Source organism: Homo sapiens, chromosome 6, assembly GCF_000001405.40.
Source record: "Homo sapiens chromosome 6, GRCh38.p14 Primary Assembly".
In the NCBI taxonomy this organism is placed as follows: domain Eukaryota; kingdom Metazoa; phylum Chordata; class Mammalia; order Primates; family Hominidae; genus Homo; species Homo sapiens.
Genome location: NC_000006.12, coordinates 6,359,959 through 6,385,529, shown reverse-complemented (window position 1 = coordinate 6,385,529; position 25,571 = coordinate 6,359,959). Strand labels below are relative to the sequence as shown.

The 25,571-nt window shown below is 40.8% G+C and overlaps 1 long non-coding RNA gene across 1 annotated transcript in view, besides 1 other annotated feature; it reads left to right on the top strand.

Moving 5' to 3' along the window:
* The window catches only part of LY86-AS1 (LY86 antisense RNA 1), a 276,362-nt gene that overhangs the window by 237,297 nt on the left and 13,494 nt on the right, over positions 1 to 25,571 (top strand). The window contains exons 5-6 of the long non-coding RNA NR_026970.1: positions 16,375 to 16,528; positions 18,921 to 19,175. This is a non-coding gene — a long non-coding RNA (LY86 antisense RNA 1). The remainder of the gene's footprint in view (positions 1 to 16,374; positions 16,529 to 18,920; positions 19,176 to 25,571) is intronic.
* Positions 22,709 to 23,908: an enhancer, noted in NCBI's record as "CDK7 strongly-dependent group 2 enhancer chr6:6361855-6363054 (GRCh37/hg19 assembly coordinates)". NCBI's record gives its function as "activates an origin of replication core promoter dependent on BRD2, BRD4, P300/CBP, MED14 and CDK7 cofactors, with strong dependence on CDK7, by STARR-seq in HCT116 cells {active_cell/tissue: HCT116}" and the evidence as "EXISTENCE:reporter gene assay evidence [ECO:0000049][PMID:35650434]".

The window sequence follows — 25,571 nt, the reverse complement described above, 5'->3', positions numbered from 1 at the left end:
TAAACGTATCCTGCCACCAGTGATCTGTTGTTATCAGACAAAATCCAAGTGTTTGGTATAAGGGTCATAGGGCCAAGAAGCAGTTGCATTTCATAGTCAAAGGTCAGAAATGGAATTGTTGGATCAGTGCTGTCTGATAGAACTTTCTGTGAAGATGAAATGTTCTACGTCTGCTTCTTCAACATGGTAGCTGCTAGCTAGCCACATGTGGCCATTGGGTACTTGAAATGTGGCCAGTGTGACTGAAGAATTGAATTTTAATTTTATGTAATTTTAATTAATTCAAATTTAAATTGTTACATGAGGCTAGTTGCTCCTGTATTGGACAGAGCAGACGTTGAGAATGCAATGATCTTTTTTTCCAGAATCGTGTTATCCATAAGAAAAGCAAGAACTTGGTGAATTAATTTAGCATCAAATCTGAGCTTCACAGCCCTAGTATTTTCTCATTCTAACTAATAGGGGTCGGGCTGTCTACACATAAATGCCTCACCCAAACCTGAACAGAAAGGGGGAAAGCAATGATTCCAAGCTGCTAGAACATTATTTGAAGTCAGCAAAAAGGGGACTGAGACTCTGAGCTGGCTGGCTAGGGGGAGCATCCTGAAAGCCCCGTGGCCGACGACCACCCGAAATTCAGCGGGCAGTTGGTATCGTTTCACTGCAAACAACCCACAGCTGAAAAGAAATGAGCTTGCAAGTTCAGATCCTCAGCCAGCAGGTCAGACTGCAAGTGATAAAAGGAGCCATCACTCCCATTGGCTGTGGGGTGAAGAATGTCAGAAATGCGGTTTGTGAGAGAAAAAGAAACAGGTGCAGAGCTACATCTGTCTCCTTCTTCATAGTCCTCAGGGTTGCATCTGGGTTGCCCTGTGCACCTGAGGGGTGCATAACACCTTTTCCTCCCAGGGGGTGAAGGCCAAAGAGGCCCTGGGCAGCAACAATCAATTATACTGAGTCTCCCTCAGCTGACTCCAGCCTTGTTCTCTTTTACTGCTTCTCCTCTCCCTTCTTCTCTGTGTAAGACATATCTCTCTGCCCAAGCTCAGAGCTGGTTCCTGCACAGGGACAACAGATCTCAACTAAGCCCATCCCTTGGGGGCGCCCACAGGAGAATATAGGTGACTGTGTCCCACAGGTGCATCCACAAATGCCATGACCTATATTCTTGAGGCAGGGTGAGAACGATGAGAAAACTCGAAGAAGCTGCAGTCTGGCCTTTCTGCTGCAATAATAGATTCCAGAATTGGGAGGCAGCCCAAGGGCTGATCCGCGCCACACTACCCAAAGGAAATACAGCCCAGAGAAGGTGCGTGGGAAACAGAATTTGTATTTGGGTGAGAATGTGTCTATTTCTTCACCAAAGACCAGGGCTTGGCATGCTTGAAATGGAAAGGTATCCATTTTCTTACGGAGTTTTAGTGCCACCTAAAATTTGACAGACATTGACCCATGCCTAATCCTAATAAGAAAGCCATTCTAGAGAATTCTTCGGCTGCAAACAGAAAGGTAACTCAGATTAAATGTTGTTAGAGGCATGGTTGCATCAGTGATCTTTCCCCAGGGCACAGGGCTGCTTGGCAATCTATTGCTTCAGGAAAGTCAAGTTTATAAATATGAACCAAACCCATTTGACACACACAAATCCATGGTATGCATTCTTTATTTTCAAGTACATATCTGAAGGTTTAAGGCCTTTTTTCTCAGAAGCAGCCAAAAGCAGATGGTCAAAGTCTGATTTCTGGGTTCAGAGTCCTCTGAGAAGGCTGAGTGGCATAGCGTGATTTCAGGAGCAGCAGGAAAAGACATTGACTGTGAAAATGCCTCCCAGCCTCAGGCTGAGATTCCTCTCTTCCCCCTGACACTGCCTGAAAAGCACCAGGCTTTCCTTCGGGAGATTATCATTCTCTCTTCCTTCTCCGTGACTAGGAACACTTGGAGCTTGATGGAGTGCAGGGGCGTTTGCATTCAGGAGGAGGAGGAAGGGCAGTTTGAGAGCATGTGGGCCTAGGACCCAAGGATAGCAGAGAGAATGTGACAGGGGGTGGAAAGACATCAGGGACAAATTTTCCTACTCAAAAGTTTGCTTAGGCCAACCTGTTGTTTAAAATAAGGCTTTTGGTGATGCCCAAGCTCTGGACCCACATTTTCAGCTGCTTTTTTGATCGCTCCATCCTAGTGTCATATGCACATCTTATAAGCATGGTCATGTCCTAAACTGAACTTGGCCTCCTCTACTTCACAGCATGTCAGTGAATACCACCCCCACACACTCCACTGCCTGGCCTCAGGAACCTCAGCATTGCCTCCAACTCCTCCCTCATGTGCACCATGATATCAAATTAGTCAGCAAATCCTGGTTATTCTACCCCCACAGTGTCTCTTGGATTTATCTCCTACTGCATTTCCTATTTGCATTTCTGTTGCTACTGCCCTAATTCAGATCATCATTCCCTCTTGCCCTCACTAAAGCCATGGTTTCCCTTGGGTTTCCGTGCTGCTAATGCATCCTACACAATGGGAACAAAGGACTAGCCTGCTAAAAAATAATAACTCTAATAATGTTTCTCCCCGCTCAGAACGTCTGCTGTCTTCCTCTTGCATACAGAACAAAACACAAACTCCTTGGCCTAGATTTTAAGATTCTCCCTGTTATGGGTTGAATTCTGGTCATGTCTTGCCCTCCCACCCCCAAATTCCTGTGTCGAAGGCCTAACCCCCAATACCTCAGAATGCAACCATATTTGAAGATAGGACCTTTAAAATGGTGATTAAGTTACACTGAGGCCATTAGGGTGGACCCTGATCCAATGTCGCTGGTATCCTTATAAGAAGAGGAAACTTGGACATGCAGAGAGATGTGTGCATACATCTGTGACCATGTGAGGATGCAGTGATAGACAGCTTCGTGCAAGCCAAGGGGAGAGGCCTCAGGAGAAAGCAACCCTGCTGACACCTTGACTTTGGAGTTCTAGCCTGCAGAACTGTGAGGAAATCAATCTGGTATTTAAGGCACCCAGGCTATGGTATTTGTTATGGCAGCGCTAGGAAACTAGTAAACTCACCAGTTAGCCCCCATCTGCATGTTCTAACTGATCTTCTGGTACTTTCTCTCACTGCCCATACATGCTAAGCCCTAGCCTCGGAGGTTCTTATGTGATCTGTGGTCTTGAACCTTCTGTCTTTGCGGTGATGACCCCTCTGCATAGACTGCTCTTTCCACACTGCTTGCCTCTGGACTCAGCTCACACCTCACATCCTCTAACAACATGGAATGAGCCATTGCAGATGAACACACCTCTCCTTGCTCTCTGTTTGTTTTGCCTACCCCAAATCTATTCTCCCTCTACTTCTCCTTCTCATTCTTGTTGGAGGGATGAGCAGCAAAGTGCCTAGGTGAAAAAAAAATGCATTTCTCAGCCTCTCTCTAGGCCCAGAGGTTATGGAGCACTGGTCTGGCCAGTGAGATGTTAATGGAAGTAGGTGGGTGGGATTCAAGGAGAAAGCCTCTAAAATGGGCTGCAGATGCAGCTGGCATTGGTCTGCCTTTTGCTCTTTTCCTCCTTCCTTCTTTTATCTCCTTAAAACACAATGTGACACAGTGGCTAGAGTAACCACTTTGAAACTACAAGGGACCATCAAGATTGTTGCAGATGCTAAATGTCCTCACCACATAAAAATAAGTATGGAGGTGATGGAGATGTTAAACACCTTGATTTAACCATTTCACTGTGTATGCATAGGTGGAGATCTCACATTGTATACTGTCAATGTATACAATTTTTATTGGTCAATTACATCTTAATAAAGCTGGGGGAAAACAGTTGTTGCAAAGACCTTGACCCTAACATCTTTGAAGCCTTGAAGCAACACCAGCAACCATGAACTTCTGGAATTCTAGTTGTATAGGAAAAATAAAGTCCTTACTTGTTTGAGCCACTTTTCCCTAGGACTTCTTTTATTCGTAATGAAATATAATTCCTCACAGATAAAACTTCCATAGCATTTAGTTTCTTGAGCAAAACACCATCTGGCTTAGTGGAGCTGCTTGTATGTCCATCATCCTTCACTTGTAAGTTCTCCAGGGGCAGGAGGCCCCAGTTTTATTTATCTTGTGTCTTGCACCACTCCCAGTGCATGATGAGTGCTCAGTAAATACTTGTAGAATTTTCTGGGTCTTCGTGAATCTTAGCAAAGGGGAGAAGCCCATGTCAGCCATGGCTTTTCCAGCATGAGGCTTGTTCTGCTGCAGGTTTCAAGAGAACGAAGACATGCCATGAGGTTGTGGTTAAAGGTCAGCCATAAACCACATCAGTATGGATTATCTTCCTGAAGGAAGTTATTCCAACTGCACCATTTGGATCCAAGTCTGGGTCTTCCAGACAAATCTTCAGTTTCTCTCATGTTGCACATACATTTGGGATCAGAGCATCAATGCAGATCTTCCTTGATAGAAAGGGGACATATTTGCAACACACAAAATACCAGACTGGGCAGCTTAAACAACATAAATGTATTTCTCACAGTTCTGGAAGCTGGAAGTCCAAGGTCAAGGTGTTGTCAGGGTGGGTTCCTTCCGAGGGCTCTCTCCTTGGCTTGCAGACGGTGTCCTTTTTCCTTGTGTCCTCACATGCCCTTCTCTCTCTTCACATGCATCCCTTGTGTCTTTTCCTCCTCTTAAAAATAGACACCAGTCATAATCCATTAGAGCCCTACTTTAATGGCCTCATTTTAAGTTAATCACCTATTTAAGGCCCTATCTCCAAATAAAGTCACATTCTGAGGTACTGGGGGTTGGAACTTCAACAGTGTTTTGAGAGATGAGGGAAACAACTTTGTCCATGCCTTTATATGTGGTTACATTGGAGTGTGTGTGTGCATGCATGTGTACCAATTAATGTAGAACATGATTAGAACTGAAGGAACATTGAAGAATGCCTCATTCCAAACTCCCATTGTAGAGGTGAAGAGATGACACCCAGCAGTGGTTTGGCGACCAAGTTGGGCCTGAAACCGATGCACTTCCCCCATGCAGCTCTCCATTAAGGAGTAAAGGTGAGAACATAGGTTCAGAACATTCTGCTGAAATGAGGAGGACAGGGTAGATCATTAATCTCCATTCGATGTTCACAGCAGTACTTCCTAAGCTGTTTTCTAAGGAACGTTAGTCTTGCAAACTGTTGATTAGTATTTTATAAGTTTTTTCTGCAGTCTCATGAGGAAGAAAAGGAAAAAAGAAAGGAAGGAAGGAGAAGAAAGAAAGAAAGAGAAGGAAGGAAGAAAGAATGAAAGAATGGAGGGAGAGGAGGAGGGAGGAAGGAAAATAAAACTGTGACCCGTTCTTACTTAAACTTGGTTTAAACCACAGAAAAGCATATCCCATGGCTAAGATACTCTCTTTTTGGTGGGGTGGCCCCTGCAGTGAAATAGCTGTGTAGGTGGCATTTACACTTGTAATTCCTGTCCTATAAGGGAAATAGATTTGCCTGTTAGGTGAGAAGCAATGGAAAATGAGCAGTTTTTACTGTGTGTTGAGATCTCACCTTGAAGTCACGAAGGATAATGGCTAATAAAGCTTTCGAGTGGGAGAGACTGTGCCTGAGCTAGCGTCTCCTGATGAGCTGGGCTGGGAAGTGTGTCTGCAGGAAGAATTGTCTCTGGACCTGTGATGGCTTATTTAGCCTGAGGTCACGCAACAGGGGCTGTCTTCAACTATGAAGCACAAATGAAGTTGTTTGGGTTCCTCTGCCTGTGAGTCAGTGGCGTTACATGTACAACATGGCTCTTGTTGGTCATTTACAGAGGGAGGAAGTGAGATCAACAATATTTATTCACGCCTCATTACTTCTGCCCTGCAGAAAGCCATAATCCCAAGTTTATGACTGCCTGAAACCATTAGATTTTTTTAAATCTGGTTTTCAGAATCTATTTTCAAAAATCTATTTGCTCACCCCACCTACATTTGGCAGAATGAAAGTTACAGAGTATAACAAGAATAAATACTCTGACATTTTTCTCTAAGAATACTAAAATAAACATATTGCATACTGAGTTTATATGAGATTTTAAATATTTTAACGTTCAAACCTAAAACATTTGATTTTTAATGGTTATAATTGGAAATAGCCTTGTGTATGAAAGTCTCCTTTTTCTGTTTTTACATGAGAAAACATCTTATAGAAAATTGAATCAATGAAGTGTGTGGATGAGTATTGCATATTTTTATGAGGGTATTTCTTTATTCATATAGAAAGTGTGTATAAAGAATCTGCTAGGTATTATTGTGTTACAGGAAGGGTGACTGACTGTCTTGGCTTCCAGGAGATTGAAGAGTTAGTGTTAAAACCAGGATAAGTTGGTCACCCTGGTTAGACCTGGAGAGTCACTGATAAATAAAATATGGTCAAATAGTGGTATGGCAGTGCCTTGGGAGAAGTACTTTCTGTTTGCTTATAGGAACACAAAGTAGGCTACCAATTTAACAAATTCCAATTTTTTTTTTTTACTTCAATCTAAAAGACCCTTGAGGCCAGGAGCAGTGGCTTACATCTGTAATCCCAGCACTTTGGAAGGCCAAGCGGGCGGATCACCTGAGGTCAGGAGTCCGAGACCAGCCTGGCCAACACGGCGAAACCCTGTCTGTACTAAAAATACAAAAATTAGCTAAGTGTGGTGGTGCATGCCTGTAATCCCAACTACTCGGGAGGCTGAGGCAGGAGAATTGCTTGAACCTGGGAGGTGGAGGTTGCAGTGAGCCAAGATTGTGCCACTGCACTCCAGACTGGGCAAAAAGAGCAAAACTCCATCTCAAAAAATTAAATAAATAAATAAATAAAACCCTTGGGTGTTTTTGTTTTGTTTTGCTTTGTTGAAGGTTGTACTCCAGAACAGAACTAGTATAACAGTTTGGGTGTGATTGGGGGATAAAAAAGAAAGAGAGCAGATAAGAGAAAAAAGAGAGAAAGAAAGAGAAGAAAAGGAAGGGTGGAAGGATGACAGGAAAGGAGGGAGGGAGGAAAGGAGGAAGGACGGGAGAAGGGAGAGAGAGGGAGGGAGGGCGGGAGGAAGAGAGGCATGCCAAGCTTTGGCAGGCAGAGTCTATGAGACACAGCCTAGAATTTTACTCCATACACCTGCTCTTAGGAAGACATCAGCATTTTCAATAAAGTTCTGCAAAGGGCAATTCAGTCTTTCTAAACTCCAAAAACCTGTGATGTGGTAGAAAGGAAGCCAGAGTGTAATTTGCCCCAGCTTCAGCTATTTCAGTTCCACCAAGGCCCAGGTCTTTCCTGTTTTGTTCAGCAGCTAGATTAGCTCCTGGCATATTACAGGAGTTCAGTAAATGTTAGTTAAATAAATGAGTAAATAAGAATAAATCCTGGCCGGGTGCGGTGGCTCATGCCTGTAATCCCAGCACTTTGGGAGGCCAAAGTGGATCACTTGAGGTCAGGAGTTTGAGACCAGGCTGGCCAACATGGTGAAACCCCGTCTCTACTAAAAAAAAAAATGAGCTGGGCATGGTGGCACAAGCCTGTAATCCCAGCTACTCAGGAGGCTGAGGCACGAGAATTGCTTGAGCCTGGGAGGTGGAGGTTGCAGGAAGCCAAGATTGTGCCACTGCACTCCAGCCTGGGTGACAAGAGTAAGACTCCGTCTCGGAAAAAAAAAAGAAGAATGAATCCTGTGATTGTGTAATTTATGCCTATTGCGTGTTAAAAACCTCAAACTTCACAGAACTTACGATTTATTAAATTAGCTACTTCTTGCTTGCCCAAGGTTAACAACGTATTTGTGTAATTTGTACACATTACAAAGTTGCTTTTTGTTGCACCTTTCTCAGAAATATGCAGACTTATGACTTAATCTGAGTGATTACCTGAAAGTGGACATAGTGTTTAGAATAATGATGCTCATGGTTTTAGTAAAAGGCGAAAGATTTTTTTTTTTTTTTTTTTTTTTTGAGACGGAGTCTCGCTCTGTCGCCCAGGCTGGAGCACAGTGGCGTGATCTCGGCTCACTGCAAGCTCCGCCCGCTGGGTTCACGCCATTCTCCTGCCTCAGCCTCCCGCGTATCTGGGACTACAGGCGCCCGCCACCACGACCAGCTAATTTTTTGTATATTTAGTAGAGACGGGGTTTCACCGTGTTAGCCAGGATGGTCTCGATCTCCTGACCTCGTGATCCACCCGCCTCGGCCTCCCAAAGTGCTGGGATTACAGGCGTGAGCCACCGCGCCCGGCCAAGGCGAAAGATTTATACCATCTGTAAAGGAACCAGAGTGTGTGCTTATGGTTTTAGTATACTCCATGTCACATTTGGGTCTGCAAAGGAGAGATTGTTTACTTTCCCAGACACATAAATCTATTTCAGGTGCTTGCTTGTCCACAGAAACCATAGTTACATGCTTTGCAGTTCAGAGCCTGCTGAAGTGATGCAGTATGCAAAGGTGTCGTCCTATATACAGATTCTGTGTGGGAACTGAAGGGGAGAAATAGCACCACTCTGTGGATCACAGTTGTGACATCGTGTTTGGCATCCCTTCTATCAACTCCGTCTACTCCATTTCCACCTTTGTCTCCACTCCTGGCTGCCCGGGGCTTTCAGGCTTTCTGGCTCCTTCCCCCAAGACAGTGTCTTCAAGATGTGTCTGGGCAGCGGCGGGGTGGGTGGGGAGGGGGGCAGTGGTGGTGGTGGTGGTGGTGGTGGTGGTGGAGGGGTCACTGCAAAAGGATTTCTTGAGGATTTATTTTTAATGCTGATTTCAGAGCTCCCCCACCCCCAATAACTACCCTGCTAGTTATTTTGCTCCCCTATCCCAGCTCTATGCTCTGGGAGGTTGACCTTGATTAACTGCATCCCTGGCTCCTTGCCTGTCTAGTTCTGTTGGCCTCAGTGAATGGTGGCCCTAAGGGGAGACCAGAGAACAGGAGGCGAGAGGGGTCGGCATGCTTCTTCCGGTTCCCTCCCTGCTTGGTCCTCACACCCCTGCTCCTGCTGCATGGCCCCTCCACTTGGACTGGCTTCATCAGAGCTCCAGTGCTCACTGGGCTTGGGTACCACAATCTCCATCCTTTGCCTCTTCAGCCCTAGGAGCAGTTCTACCTTTCTGCTGCCATTGGTTTCTGGGTGCTTCAGCATTCCTGCTGGTCTTCTCAAACCTGTCCTCATCTAAGTGAGGAATCCCTCCTCTTAGTACCTTCATTTGAGGCACCTGAAATGAATTCTGTCTACTGGTGAGACCCTCACACATATGCCCATTATTTTGTGTATTTTGCGGGGGGGGGGGGGGTAAATTTTTTAAATTTATTTTTTGTATATGAGTACGTTATTTAGCAGTGATTTCCGAGATTTTGGTGCACCCATCACCCAAGCAGTGTACACTGTACCATATTTGTAGTCTTTTATCCCTCACCCACCTCCTACCCTTTCCCCTTGAGTCCTGGAAGTCCGTTGTATCATTCTTATGCATTTGCATCCTCATAGTTTAACTCCCACTTTTAAGTGCGAACATACGATGTTTGGTTTTCCATTCCTGAGCTACTTCACTTAGAATAATAGTCTCTAATTCCATCCAGGTTGCTGCGAATGCCATTATTTTGTTCCTTCTTACGGTTGAGTAGTATTCCATGTTGAGTACACACACATACCATATATATCACATTTTCTTTATCCACTCATTGATTGGTGGGCATTTTGGGCTAGTTCCATATTTTTGCAATTGTGAATTGTGCTGCTATAAACATGCATGTGCAAGTATGTTTTTCATGTAATGAATTCTGTCCTCTGGGCAGATACCCAGTAGTAGGATTGCTGGATCAAATGATAGGTCTACTTGTAGTTATTTAAGGACTCTCCACACTGTTTTCCATAGTAGTTGTACTAGTTTACATTCCCACCAACATTGTAAAACTGTTCCCTTTTCACCACATCCATGGCAACATCTACTATTTTTTGATTTTTTGATTATGACCATTCTTGCAGGAGTAAGATGATATCGCACTGTGGTTTTGACTTGCATTTCCCTGATAATTAGTCATGTTGAGCATTTTTTCATATGTTTGTTGGCCATTTGTGTATCTTCTTTTGAGAATTTTCTATTCATATCCTTGGCCCAATTTCTGAAGGGATTGTTTTTTTCTTGCTGATTTGTTTGAGTTCCTTGTAGATTCTGGATATTAGTCTGTTGGAAGCATAGATTGTAAAGATTTTTTCCACTCCGTGGGTTGTCTGTTTACTGTGCTGATTATGTCTTTTGCTGTGCAAAAGCTTTTTAGTTTAATTCAGTCCCATCTATTTATCTTTGTTTCTGTTTTGAGCTCTTGGTCATAAAGTCTTTGCATAAACCAATGTCTAGAAGTGTTTTTCCAATGTTATCTTCTGGGATTTTTATGGTTTCAGGTCTTAGATTTAAGTCCTTGATCCATCTTGAGTTGATTTTTGTTTAAGTTGAGAGATGAGGATCCAGTTTCATTCTTCTACATGTGGCTTGCCAATTATCCCAGCATCATTTGTTGAATAGGGCGACCTTTCCCCACTTTATGTTTTTGTTTGCTTTATCAAATATCAGTTGGCTGTAAATATTTGGGTTTATTTCTAGGTTCTCTATTCTGTTCCATTTGTCTATATGCCTATTTTTAAACCAGTACCATGCTGTTTTGGTGACCATGGCCTTATAGTATAGTTTGAAGTTGGGTAATGTGATGCCTCCAGATTTGTTCTTTTTGCGTAGTCTTTCTTTGGCTATACAGGCTCTTTTTTTGGCACCATATGAATTTTAGGATTATTTTTTCTAGTTCTGTGAAGAATGATGGTGGTATTTTGATGGGAATTGCATTGAATTTATAGATTGCTTTTGGCAGTATGGTCATTTTTACGATATTGATTCTACCCATCCATGATCATGGGATGTATTTCCATTTGTTTGTGTCGTCTATTATTTCTTTCAGCAGTGCTTTGTAGTTTTCCTTGCAGAGATCTTTCACCTCCTTGGTTAGGTGTATTCCTAAGTATTTTATTTTTTTTACAGTTATTGTAAAAGGCGTTGAGTTCTTGATTTGATTCTCAGCTTGGTCACTCTTGGTGTATAGCAGAACTACTGATTCATGTACATTAATTTTGTATCCTGAAACTGTATGCTGAATTCATTTACCAGTTCTAGGAGCTTTTTGGATGTATCTTTAGGGTTTTCTAGGTATACAATCATGTCATCAGCAAACAGTGACAGTTTAACTTCCTCTTTACTGATGTGGATATCCTTTATCTCTTTTTCTTGTCTGATTGCTCTGGCTAGGACTTCCAGTAGTATCTTGAATAGAAATGGAGAAAGTGGGAATCCTTGTTTTGTTAAGGTTCTCAGGGGAGTGCTTTCAACTTTATTCCATTCATTATAATGTTGGCTGTGGGTTTGTCTGAGATGATCTTTATTACCTTAAGTTATGTCCCTTCTATGCCAATTTGACTGAGGGTTTTAATCACAAAGAGATGCTAGTTTTTGTCTCATGTTTTTTCTGCATCTATTGAGATAATCATGTGATTTTTGTTTTTAATGCTGTTTATGTGGTGTATCGCATTTATTGACTTGTGTATGTTAAACCATCTCTGCATCCCTGGTATGAAACCCACTTGATCATGATTAATTATCTTTTTGATATGCTATTGGATTCAGTTAGCTAGTATTTTGTTGAGGATTTTTGCATCTATGTTCATCAGGGATATTGGTCTGTAGTTTTCTTTTTTTGTTATGCCCTTTCCTGGTTTTGGTATTAGGGTGATACTGACTTCATAGAATGATTTAGGGAGGATTCCCTCTTTTTCTTTCTTTTGGAACAGTGTCAAGAGGATTAATACCAATTCTTCTTTGAATTCTGATAGAATTCAGCTGTGAATCCATTGGGTCCTGGACTTTTTTTTTGGTAACTTTTTAATTATTAATACTATTTCAATCTCACTGCTTGTTATTTGTGTATTCAGAGTTTCTATTTCTTTCTGGTTTAATTTAGGAGGGTTGTGTCTTTCCAGGAATGTATCCATCTTCTCTAGGTTTTCTAGTTTATGTGCATAAAGGTGTTCGTAGTACCCTTGAATGATCTTTTGTATTTCTGTGGTATTGGTTGTAATGTCTCCAGTTTGGTTTCTAATTGAGCTTATTTAGATCTTCTCTCTTCTTTCCTTGGTTAATCTCACTAGTGGTCAATCAATTTTATATCTTTTCAAAGAACCAGCTTTTGGTTTTATTTATCTTTTGTAATTTTTTTTGTTTCAATTTCATTTAGTTCTATTCTGATTTTGGTTATTTCTTTTCTTCTTCTGGGTTTTGGTTTGGTTTGTTCTTGTTTCTCTAGTTCCTTGAGGTGTGACCTTAGATTGTCTATTTGTGCTCTCTTAGGCTTTTTGATGTAGGCATGTAATGCTGTGAACTTTCCTCTTAGCACTGCTTTTGCTGTATTACGGAGGTTTTGGTAGGTTATGTCATTATTATCATTCAGTTCAAAGAATTTTTAAATTTCCGTCTTTATTTCATTGTTAACCCAATGATTATTCAGGAGGAGCTTATTTTATTTCCGTGTATTTTCATGGTTTTGAGGGTTCCTTTTGGAGTTGATTTCCAATTTCATTCCACTGTGGTCTGAGAGGGTATTTGACATCATTTCAGTTTTCTTAAATTTGCTGAGACTTGTTTTCTGGCCTATCATATGGTCTATTTTGGAGAATTTCCATGTGCTGATGAATAGAATGTACATTCTGTAGTTGTTGAGTAGAATCTTCTGTAAATATCTGTTAAGTTTGTTTATTCTAGGGTATAGTTTAAGTCCATTGTTTCTTTGATGATTTTCTGTCTTGATGACCTGTCTAGGGCTGTCAGTGGAGTATTGAAGTCCCCCACTACTCTTGTGTTGCCATCTATCTCATTCCTTAGGTCTAGTAGTGATTGTTTTATAAATTTGGAGGCTCCAGTGTTAGCTGCATATGTATTTAGGACTGTGATATTTTCCTGTTGGACTAGTCATTTTATCATTATATAATGTCCCTCTTTGTCCTTTTTAATTGCTCTTGCTTTAAAGTTTGTTTTGTCTGATATGAGTAGCTACTCCTGCTCATTTTTGGTGTCCATTTGCATGGAATATCTTTTTCCACCCCTTAGCCTTAAGTTTATGTGAGTCCTTATGTGTCAGGTGACTCTCTCAAAAACAACAGATACTTGGTTGGGAAATTCTTAGTCATTCTGCTATTCTGTATATTTTAAGTGAAGCATTTAGGTCATTAACATTCGGCATTAGTATTGAGATGTGAGGTACTATTCTGTTCATCATGCTAGTGGTTGCCTGAATACCTTGCATTTTTTTTCATTGTGTTATTGTTTTATAGGTCCTGTGATATTATGCTATAAGGAGATTCTATTTCAAGGATTTGTTTCAAGATTTAGAGCTCCTTTTAGCAGTTCCTGTAGTGCTGGCTTGGTAGTGGTGAATTCTCTCAGCATTTGATTGTCTGAAAAAGACTGTATCTTTCCTTCATTTATGAAGCTTAGTTTCATTGGATACCAAATTCTTGGCTGATAATTCTTTTATTTAAGGAGGCTAAAGATAGGGACTCCAATCCCTTCTAGCTTGTAGGGTTTCTGCTGAGAAATCCGCTGTTAATCTAACAGGTTTTCCTTTACAGGTTACCTGATGCTTTTGCCTCATAGCTCTTAAGATTATTTTCTTCATCTTGACTTTAGATAACCTGATGAGTATGTGCCATGGTGATGATCTTTTCGTGATGAATTTCCCAGGTGTTCTTTGAGCTTCTTGTATTTGGATGTCTAGATGTCTAACAAGGCTGGATAAATTTTCCTTGATTATTCCCTCAGATATGTTTGTCAAACTTTCAGATTTTTCTTCTTCCTCAGGAACACCAATTATTCTTAAATTTGGTCATTTAACATAATCCCAAATTTCCTGCAGGCTTTGTTCATTTCTTACAGTTCTTTTTTCTTTGTCTTTGTTGGATTGAGTTAATTCAAAAGACTTGCCTTCAAGCTCTGAATTTCTTTCTCCTACTTGTTCAATTCTATTGCTGAAACTTTCCAGTGCCTTTTGCATTTCTGTTAGTGTACCCTTCATTTCCAAAAGTTGTAATTGTTTTTCATTTATGCTATCTATTTCACTGGAGATTTTTCCATTCATATCATGTATCTTTTTTTATTTCTTTAAGTTGAACTTTACCTTTCTCTGGTACCTCCTTGGCATATGCCTGTTGAATTGGACTGTCTGGCAGCAGACCCCAGGAACATGCTTTTCTTTTTTTTCTTTTTCATTATTGTTTTTAATTGTGGTAAAATACATATAACATTTATCATCTTGATCATTTTTAAGTGTACAGTTCAGAGGCATTAAGCATGTTCGCATGGTTGTGCAGCCATCACCACATCTCCAGGGCTTTTACATTGTTTCAAAGTGAAATGCTATACCCATTAAACAACAATCCTGCATTCCTCCCTCCCCAGCCCCTGGCACCCACCATTCTACTTTTTGTTGCTATGAATTTGACTACTCAGTACTTCCTGTAAGTAGAATCAAACAGCATTTGTCCTTTTGTGATTGGCTTATTTCATTGAGCATCATGTCCTCAGGTTTCATCCATGTTGTAGTATCTGACAAGATTTCTTTCCAAGATGGAATAATATTCCATTTTTATGGCGAGACCACATTTTGCTTATCTATTTATGTATCAAAAGATATTTGGGTTGTTTTTAACTTCTGGCAATTGTGAATAATGTTGCTATGTATGTGGGTGTATAACTATCCAAACCTGCTTTTTAAATAGGCTTCCCAGGTAATTCCTATGCCCTTTAATGTTTAAGAATCATTGCCTTTGGGAAGCCAGAGCTCTGACATCACCATTTATATAATTTGGTGTAGAGCTTCTAACCCTTAAGAAGTGACCTCTCCAGAGGCATTTTATTTCCAACTATAGGATGGCATATTTGTGCTCTCAGTTAATTACAGGCAAGTCTGAATAGACAGAGAGATGTCTTGGCAGTTCAGGGGACTTTCTCCTTGCTCTGATATCATTTTGTCCAAAAGTCTTGTCTAAGAACAAGCCATTTAAGCCAGTTGCTGATATTTGGAAGGTGTTGTGTCAGAAGAGACTTGATGTCCTCTGAGAGGTTTCTTGACATTCTCTGTTCCTCAAACTTCCACATGGGACACTTTCCCTCCACCTCACTTTGCCTGGACCACTCACCTTTAAATTTTGAGTTAGATGTTGTTTTCTTTAGGAAGGTTTCTCTTTGGTGAGGGCAATCACCAAGATGGGATTAGCAGCCTTCCCCGTAGGTTCCTGCCCACTTTTTACTGTGTACTATTATTACTGATTTACCTGCCTTTTGTCCTCACCAGACTATAAGCTCCTTGAGGGTGGGACTCATGCTTTCCCAGATCCCAGCCCTCCTGTAGCAGCTGCCCAAGACCTCTCAGCCCAGAGGTGTAAATGGGGTGGTCAATCGAATGTGTGGATAGGGGTGAAGCACAGGAAACTTCATCCTCAGCAGGGCATGGAAGTGGGACAGGGGAAATCTAGGAACTGACATTTGAAAAATAGTGTGTAAGCACCTGTGTGCCATGCCAGATGTGGTAAGCATTTCTCCATGGTGTCTGAGAAGTCAGCATCACCAAAACTGAAAACAGAATTTGCTAAGTCAAAAGAAAAAAAAAAGTTGCCATTTATTTGACAGTGCAATTAAAGTCATTTATGAGAACTGATTATTCTGAAATTCTATGCAGTATAATTATTTATATAAAATTCTTTTAAAATGTTGTTGTAAATTTGGAGTAATTACAGCAGGATACCCTATGCATGTTTCACTGTTCTTATTTGCTCCTGGAGAGTGTCTAATTGCAACTCAGAAGAATAGACTGTGCTAAGGACAATCAATGTGTTATGATGCCATCAGGCCCTAGTCTGGGGCCATTTATATCCAACTGAGATAGAGAGGATTGGAGAAGATTTCTGCAAATAACTGACCTGTGTTTTAGAGGATAAGAATAAGGGAATTTCAAGCCCAGGGACAGTATCCGAAATCTCTAGTTCCCACAGAGTAATGAGACCTGGTTCTATAAGTCTTAAGTGAAAATACATTGCATTACTTGATAGTCACATCTTATATCCCAAAATGTCCTGAATAAATACCCCGTGTGCCATTTCTTTCTATGTCACCACATTTGCATACTCAAACATCTTCCTTCCTCCCTTCCTCCCTCCCTCCTTCCCTCCTCCCTCTCCCTTCCTTCCTTTCTTTCTTTCTTTTTTTCTTTCTTTCTTTCTTTCTTTCTTTCTTTCTTTCTTTCTTTCTTTCTTTCTTTCTTCTTTTCTTTCTTTCTTTTTTTTCAGGACATTACCTGTTGATTCTTGGGCAAGGCCCAGAATTTGGTGGACATACTTAAAGAAGAAAGGAATCTTCAGCTAAAGTGTCTACGATCAATTCAGATTTGGAGGGCATGGATCTTCTGACAGTAGGGGCCATTCTAGGATTTTTTGGTTGAAGGTGAGTGAGAATTTGGTACATGGAAGGGGATGGGTGACTCTAAGGGCAGAGAAAGGAAAATCAAGTGAGCTGAAGAAGGAAGCACAGTGGTGGGACTGACCAACTGCACTCATGACCATTTAACCATGTGTTGGCTTGTGTAAGGGTGTGGAGCTCACTAGAGGATTTGAAGATGTTCAATCTTGCAACATACTCAGTGACTGTGTGTCCTAGAAATAGCACAGCTTCTATAGGGACTAGAGGGAACAGAAGAGTGGGGCTGAGGAGACGGAGGTAAAAAATTGACAGAGGGTTATTTTGCCTAAATCAGCATGACCTCAGAGGAGCTTGGATTAGACCAATAATATTGGGTTGGTGCAAAAGTAATTGCAGTTTTTGCCATTACTTTTAATTACTTTTAATTTGCCATTACTTTTAATTTGCCACACATTCCATTGACTATTCCAGAACTACAGGTTCACCTAATGTATTGGGTTGGTGCAAAAGTAATTGCGGTTTTAGCCGACTAAATCTAGATCTAACCCATCTAGATTTAGTGGGCTTTCTTCAAACAGACTGCGCTGATCAGGTAGATGATAATAGGATTTTTTTTTTCCATTACCAAGACTTAGATAAGGTAGTCAGGGAGTAGTCAGTAAGCCTGGTTTCTAATGATAGCTGTACCACTTACCTGTGTTACCTAAAGCAAGGCACCACATTTGTTTGGCTTCAGTGGCTTCATCTATAAAATGGATGATTGCATAAATGATCAGTCAGCCCTCTACACCTCCTAACTCAAACAAGCAATGTAGTTCAGTTGCTATGCATTTTGTAAGGCTGTGGTTCTCAACCAGAGGTGATTTTACTCCCAGGAGACAGTTGGCAATGTTTGGAGACACTTCTGGTTGTCATTACTGCTATTGGCATCTGGCAGGTGGAGGCCAGGAATGCTGCTAAACAGTCCTTCAATGCACAAGGCAGCCACCCTGCCCCAACAAACATTTATCCAGCTCCAAATATCAATAGTGACAAGGCCGAGATACCCTGCTTAAGGGGGAGAAACTGACACTCAAAAGAGGACATGACACTGTCTTGTTCTCTAAGTGTGGCTGGGGAAAGTTATGGCAGGTTCTATGCCATGAACTATGGAAGAGTAACAGCATATTAGAGCTAGCATCTTGATATGCTTTTCTCCCTTGTTGAGTGTAGAATATAACTTCTCAATAAGTTTCTTTTAAGATGATGAAATAAACTCTAATTGAATATGCCATCTGGGAACATTGAACTGCACAGAGACAGCAGTGGGCTCAATTCACATTATTCTCCCCACCCACTCTGGGTAAGTCTGAGTGTGAAAGGACTACTCAACTGCTGTCATACCGTCCATTTTTAAACACCTTTCCATGAAGAAGCTCAGAGTTCTACATTGAACATGATAACACTGATCCTCTACTTACCTTAATGTTGTCTATTGCATTTTAAGGGAAACTGAGCACAAATGATCTTGTGGTGGATCTAGAATCATGACTTGGCTTTGCTGGTTCTTTCCTCTAGGTTCAATCCATTAGCAGATTTTGCCCATCGCCGATGTTTCTGCCACATGCACATGTTCTGCGTGAACTGTGCTTCTGCAAGAGAGGCTGCTGTATAAATCTCACTTGTGAGGATTAAGCGAGATTATGTATATAAAAAAAGTAGATGCCCAGAACATGCTTGTGTTCTTTGAAAGGGCCAAGCTAATGTTGAGCAACAGCAGTGGGTAGATCTTGAGATTAAATGTCACCTCCATGCTGTTGCCGCTTCTCAGTCTACTTCTTAATTTGAAGCGGGTGGTGATTGAAAGTGAAGGAGGTTTGTTCTGTCCCAATCTGGACGTGTTTCATGTTTGGGAATACAGGAAAACAAGACAAGTGGGCCAAACTGCCTTGTTTCAATGCTCCAGTGACCATGAGGACTAATTGCTGTGCTAACAAGAATGAGAGTTTATTCAGACTTAGCGGATCAATGGACACATTCAATTTTCTACAGGCGCAGCTCAGTCCTGTTCCGCCTCTACATGTGCATTCCAAAGAGGCACTGATCTACAGTAACCTCCAGATGGCTGCAAGTCCCCAGTCCTCAGCGTGGGATAACCTCCAGCAGGAGAGAGCCCCGCAGGCCGATTACAGCCACTGCTGTCTTTTTCTATTCACCTCTAACCTTTCTTCTATGTCCCTAACACCTATAGAGTTTTAATCACATTCCAATTCAAGATAGATATACTATAAGTAGAATAAATCCTGAGAGGCTGTATGAAAACCTAGTTCTGTTCTTGGGATGACTAAAGGAAACATGAACTAGAAGGGTAGTTAGAAGGTAACAGAAGAGAAAGCAACTAGCATGCAATTTACAGATATTTTCTTTTCCTTTATAGAGATGAACTTCAACTTGGTTCCAGATGGGTGGTCCAGCTATTCTGCTGACAACATTTTTCAGGGCAAGGCTTTTGCTACTGGAATGATTTAAGGAAGATCCCTCAGTGTTTCAGAGTAAAGATATTTCTAAAGAAGTACCTGTGTCATTGCCCATCTTGAAGATTGACTTTTATGGATTGCTCAAATACTGATATCAGCTCAATGTCAATATATACTCCTACATATAAAATCCATCTTCTAATCATAATCACTAGGTAAGATGCTAGTGCAAGTTGAAGTTCTTAAAGGAGATGACCTGAACAGCCTTCTTAGTGTACCAGGGAGACCAGATTGAGTTTAAACTATGTTTACCCTGCACTCAGACACGCCTAGGTGTGTCTGGGAGATTAGTAGATGGTGTTCAACAAGGATCTATTTAAACAAGGGAGACATTAATTTGGATTCCTTTGGTTGTAAATTTCCAAAAAAAAAAAAAAGGTCTAAGTTAAAATGTTTAAGGAGGATGGGGGAAGAATGTGATGACTGTTATAGTTAATGTGAGCTTTAGGCTTGGCCGGATCCAGGTACTAAAACAATGTTATTAGATAATAAATCTAATTAAATATAATCTAAATTTCCATCTCGACTCTGCTTAACCCTGTTGGACTGCAAGTTAATGGTAAAATGAGCATCCATCACATTCACCATTCCACTTGCTTCAAGTCTAGTGGAAATAAATGAGAAATTAGCTTATTTTTTAATTGAGTGATTGAGCAATAGATCTGGGCTTGGATTTCATTGATGTGGTTCTCATCTCTATCACTACACTCCCCAAAGTCACCAAAGATTAGGGTGACCATGCATCTCAGTTTGCCTGCGATGGTCCCAGTGTATATCTGCTACCTGAGCATAAATATGGATAAACCCTGCTGTAGTTATCCTTGAAGATGGCCCTCAATTAATTATCCTAGTCTCTAGTCTCCAATTGTTCACACTCTTCTGGGACCCCTTCCAGATTGAGTAGGGCCAACATAAGTAACCACTTCAGCCTTGCTCTCTCGGGTTGCTTGACCCGGGGGAAGACAGTTGCCATGTTGTTAGAATACTCAAGCTGTCTGTGGGATGCCCGCGTGGGGAGGCACTGAAGCCCTTGCCAACAACTGGTACTAACTTTCCAGCCATGTGACTGAGTCACCTTGGAAACAGATCTCACAGCCCCAGTGAAGCCTTTAGATGACTGCAGTCCCAGCCAATAGCTGGCTGCCATCTCATGAGAGGTGCTGAGCCAGAACCTGTACCAAATTCTAAATTCTAGACCATCTAAACTGTAGGAGGTAATAAATGTTTGCTGTGTTAACACAGCACTGAGCTTTGGGGATAATTTGTTGTACAGAAATAGATTACTAGTACATATCCTCTTTCACTCTTAAAAGTGTCCCAGTTTAGAAAATAAACTAATTGTTCACCGACCGATGACCTCCATGTTGACAATGCTAGTCTTCAATTCTCCATCAACCCCTATACTCGTTTTCCTCAATGTGTCAAAAGTATTCGGTACACTTGACCACTCCCTTCTCTTTGACACAATTTCTTCACTGTGCTTTCAGAATAGTATTTTCACAGGCTACTCCTCCTCAGGGTTGTTTTTTTTTTTTTTTTCCTTAAACACACTCTCATCCTTTCTTTAGCCCTGGATGCTGCAGGTCTCCAGGATCCTTCAGAAGTCCTCAGAATTTTTCTCTTATCTGTTTAATATTAATGCTTAGTGCCTCATCGATTTCATTTAGTCCAATGAACTTATAAGATGAACACTCCCAATGTTAACTCACTGGTCCAGATGTCTTCCTATGCTCCAATCCTGTGTAATCAGCTGCCTAGTCAGTATCTCCACTGGATGTTTAATATGCATCTGAAATCAACTTGTCCATAACCGAAGTTCTGATCTTGCTCCATAAGCTTTCTTCCCCTTAGACTTTCACATTCCAATTAAAGATAGCTAGCAGTACTTCTAGAGTTTCTCAGGCTAAAAATCCTGAAGTTGTCCTTAACTGCTTTTCCCTCCCACCTCACATCCAACACAAAGCAAATTCTGAGTCCAAGCATGCTCTCCAACCCCTCTACTATTACTAACCTTACCCAAGTTACCATCACCTTTTGCCCGCCCCCAAATATCTCCCTCTCAGCACCCTTCGATCTATTCACTACACCCCAGCCAGTCTGTGCTGATTCTACAACCGAGGTCAGATTGTGCTGCCCTCTGTGCAACCCCTACCATGGCTTCTTACCTAACTCAGAAGAAAACCCCAAGCCCTTCTCAAGGTCTGCAAGACCCTATGAAATCCAGCTCCTTCACTACCTGACCTCATTTCCTTCATGTTCATCTTGATCATACCACACTCACTTACTAGGGGTGGCCTGAAGATGTCAGGTGCAATCCTACGTCAGGTCCTTTGCACGAGTAGGTCCCTCCACTGGGATGCCCTTCCCCCAGATATCCATTTGACCACCTCACTTTATTCAGTCTCAGCCCAAATGCCACCTTGTCAGAGTGGCCCTTGACGATCACTATATAAAAGTGATCTCTACCATCACTTTCTCTCTGCTTATTGTCCTTTGTTTTTGTTTTTCTTGATAATGGTCACCACTAGCTGATGGAGTTGAACATATGTATATGTGTGTATATATATATATGTGTGTGTGTGTATATGTAATATATATATGTATATATGTGTATATATATATGTCCTTCCCCAATTTTCTCCCTCTAGAATGTGAAGTTTTTGAGAGAAGGACTGTTGTTCATTGCAAAGCCTGTTGACAAAAGTCCTTGTGGGCCATGGAAAGGACAAGATGCCATGAACATGGGTGCTGGCACCTTCTGCCACCATGGGAAATGCCCCCAATGGCTTCAGCTTCCTCAGCCAATGGCAGCCTGGCCATGGTCCTCCATATTTTTAGCCCATTTCCTATTTCCCATTTAGAAAAAAATGAAACAAGTGCAGCTTGCTACCAGTGCTCATTTAATTTACATAAACATGCTGTTTGAGGCTGAAGCAAATCTGACTGATTTGCAATGTGAAAATAAAATATAAAAACACTTCATGTAGTTATTTCTAAACAGAACTTGTCTCTAATCCTAATGTAACACAGATGTATATGATGTTACATTAAGATGAGAGACAAGAGTATTCTCAGGCAAACAGGAAATAGGTTAACAGGTGCAAGACCAGCCTTGGAGCAATCTGATGGGCGCCATCAGAGGAGCAGTGTGACTTCTGGGCACTGACCACAGCAGTGCTGGTTGGGTACAGCTAAGGGTAGGGATCATCCCCAAAGAAAATGGGACGAGGAAAGAAGAGCATTGGATGTCTCTTAGAGCCAACAGCACTGGCACTCAGAGTACAAGTGAGACCATCTCTGGGAGAGCCCAGAACCCTTCATCACATTATCAGCTCCTCACAGAAGGGCTCATGACTATCCTTTTCACAGCTGTATTCCTCATACCATGACTGGCACATATTAGTCGTGGCTCATAGATGCTTGTTGAGTTTATCAATGGTTCTGCATGAAGAGTTTGAGAAAGGCCAGAGATTTATCAGAGAATGGAGGGGTGGAGACCCAGAAGTATTGATCTATGATTGTTGAAATGCTATTTTTATCATCAGAAAGATTTGGTCAGGGGCCTACAGGAACACTAGGAAGATACTTATAAAATATTCTGCTTCTTTAAAATCTCTCCCTTTGTAGAGCCATTAATCACAGAATTCCCAACCTGACGCCCCACTTTGTGGGTCTGTCGTCACAACTAGGGTATCTAGCTCATTGCCCCAGTTGCTCTTAACCTCTAAATTATGTTTTATACCTTTTTCTGCTGCTGCCATCCTAGGTTTTGCTGGCAGTAGAAATAAGATTGCCCCACTATCTTTCTTAAAACGATGTGAAATTTTCTGTTGCTCACTGGGTTAGTAGTTGACTCATGCTGCAGGAAATCTGGGAATTGAAGATGTGACAGATAATTAAGCCCCAACTCTCTCAAATAAACTCCTTCCCCTTCTCCATTACTCCTTCCTTAACTGTTTACTGTCAATTATGTGCTAAGCAATATGTAAAACATTAGGACTGTAGTAATAAAAAATACCCAATTTGTTTTAAAAATGTTTTTGAAAAGTAAAAACAAAAGGCTGAACCATGATGCTGGAATAAACAAAATTGTTGTTGAGCTTAGACTCTGAAAATTTTCTCTGCTTTTACCCTGTGTGTGTCTGAAGGTGGATATTGTTATGCAAGGAAGAGATGTGAATATACAGGAAATGAGATCCTTAAAGGGGTTGCCGTCCAGATGTTAGATCAAAGAGATTATGATTCATTCAACCAAGTCGCTGGACTTTTGAAGGCCTATCCAAGTCATGGTGCCTTTGAGGTTGCGCCTGTTACTATTCAAAACTTGGTATGTGTTATTCCATGTAAATGTTATGCAATGATTCAAAAATGAATACCAGGTTGAAAGATGTTATAACAGTCCCTTGTTCCAATGAACTCTACCTTTGTGAGCAAAGGTGACCAAAAAGACCACACTGCATGACCAGCAGCCCACAAACCAGACTGGGCTAAGTTCTGCTGCTATTTCTAGAGCTTGCTGCTGTTCAAAGCACTCCTTGGGTCCAGCCAGATTGCCATACTTTCTTGATGTATTTCCCATGGCTGCTTCATTTGTTGTTCATTTCTCTTAGTGCTTTTAGTAGGTTATTGTTTTAGGTGGCGTATCTGTACCTCCTCATAAAAGATTTTTGGGTCCACATTTTCCACTCAAAATCATAGTAGCCATGATGAACACCTGGCATCCTTTGGACAACTTTCCATAACTACATAATAATGAGCCAGTTTTTACCATCCATATTAGATATGGCTAGAGTGACTATTTTCTGAATCAAAATTGTGCTGAGCATTTGCCAAATATCAGATAAACTTAAAGCCCTAGAAGTATCTTAGAAAGTCCAAGGGGAGTGTCATTGTTCTAGACTTAGTTCAAAAGATGCTAGACAATGGCGTCCAAGTTCAGCCTTTGTAGACATATAGAGTGAACATTACCCTTGCTGTTATAGGTTTTATTCTCCACTGAGGGCCACAGAGCCTCACCATTGGTTTGCCCCACACACAACAGGGTAAATTCCTACTCCTTTGTCAATTAGGAATTTTCCAGGCAATGTGTTTACCTCTTGGGTAAATACATTACTTTCATCAGTGTAACTTAACTATAAAGTATTTTTAGAGGATCAGATTATTTGAGTATGGCTGTGATAAGTCTCTCCTTAAATGGACCTTAACAAAGTAGAAAGAAAACGTTAGCAGACATTTCAGACTAATGATGTTTTCTTTTTTTCAAGTGGGTTATTTAGAGTTGAATAGCAATTACTTAAAGCTAGTAGCAAAGGAACATTTTCTGTAATGATGTTTATTTATGCCTTTTCATTCTATAACATTCAGCATGTGACAAAGGAATTAGAGAAAAGACTAGTCGAATCTGGAGCCATGCAATTAATGAAATCCATATGTTTGAAGAAATCGTCTTATATAACTCCCATGCTTCTGATATTTCCTAGAACGTCTTAGATTGAGGTCATTGTGCACTATTAACAGAGTCCTGGTTAATAATGTACAATGACCTTAATTCAGCATGTTTTTAATGAATAGCTGAACTTCATGCTTATAACATCCTGACTATGCTTACAAATATTTTTCTAAATTGCTGGTCTGTTTGCAGATGCATTATCAGTGCATGCAAAAAATAAGATTATGCCTCGTTTAGGATTCTCTTTCTTGTAAAGTCCAATCACTGCTGCATTAAGATAGGTATGGGAATGTGTAGGCAAAGTCACATATAGTGACACACATTGGATAAAAAATATAAACTTCAGCCACATGATTCTTTCACTCAAAAACATAATGTGGCTCTCCTTTATATCTTTTTTTAATGATTTGCATAGCTTTCCATTGTGTGTATGTGCTATAATTTGTTTTAATAAACCCCCACTAATTGATAGCTGGATTGTTTCCTAGTTTGTAATTTATAAACCATGATGCAATTAACACCCAGGGAAACATATCTTTGTGTACTTGACAAATATTTCTACAGCATAAGTTTCTAGAAGGGGAATTTCTGGTTCAAAGGAAATGTACACTTAAGCTATGATTGGTATTGCTAAAAAACTATTTGTTTCAAATTCTCGCCAATTCTGGGAATCGGCATTTTCAATTTTTGCCAATTTGATGTGTCAAAAATCTTACTGTTGTTTTGATTTGCATTTATTTGATTAGTAAAGAGTCTGAATATCTTTTCATATATTTACTAGCCATTTTTATTTCCTCATTTGAAAACGGCCTATTCCTGAGCTTTGTTCATGGTTGTGTTGGATTGTTCTTTTTCTCATTAAGTTATACAAGCTCCTTGTGTATTACAGGAAAAAAAAAAACCATCTATTTTAATACATATGTTGCTTCCATTTTCATACTAATCACATTAGTATGTATTTTTCTATTGTACACTATTATTAAAGTTTCCCTCACTTTGATTCTCTGGCAAGTCCTATAAATTTTATGAGCAATTTTATTAAAGACATTTTTAAATATCATTATCAAAAAAGAGTGGGAAACTTTGCCTAAATATAGGAAAA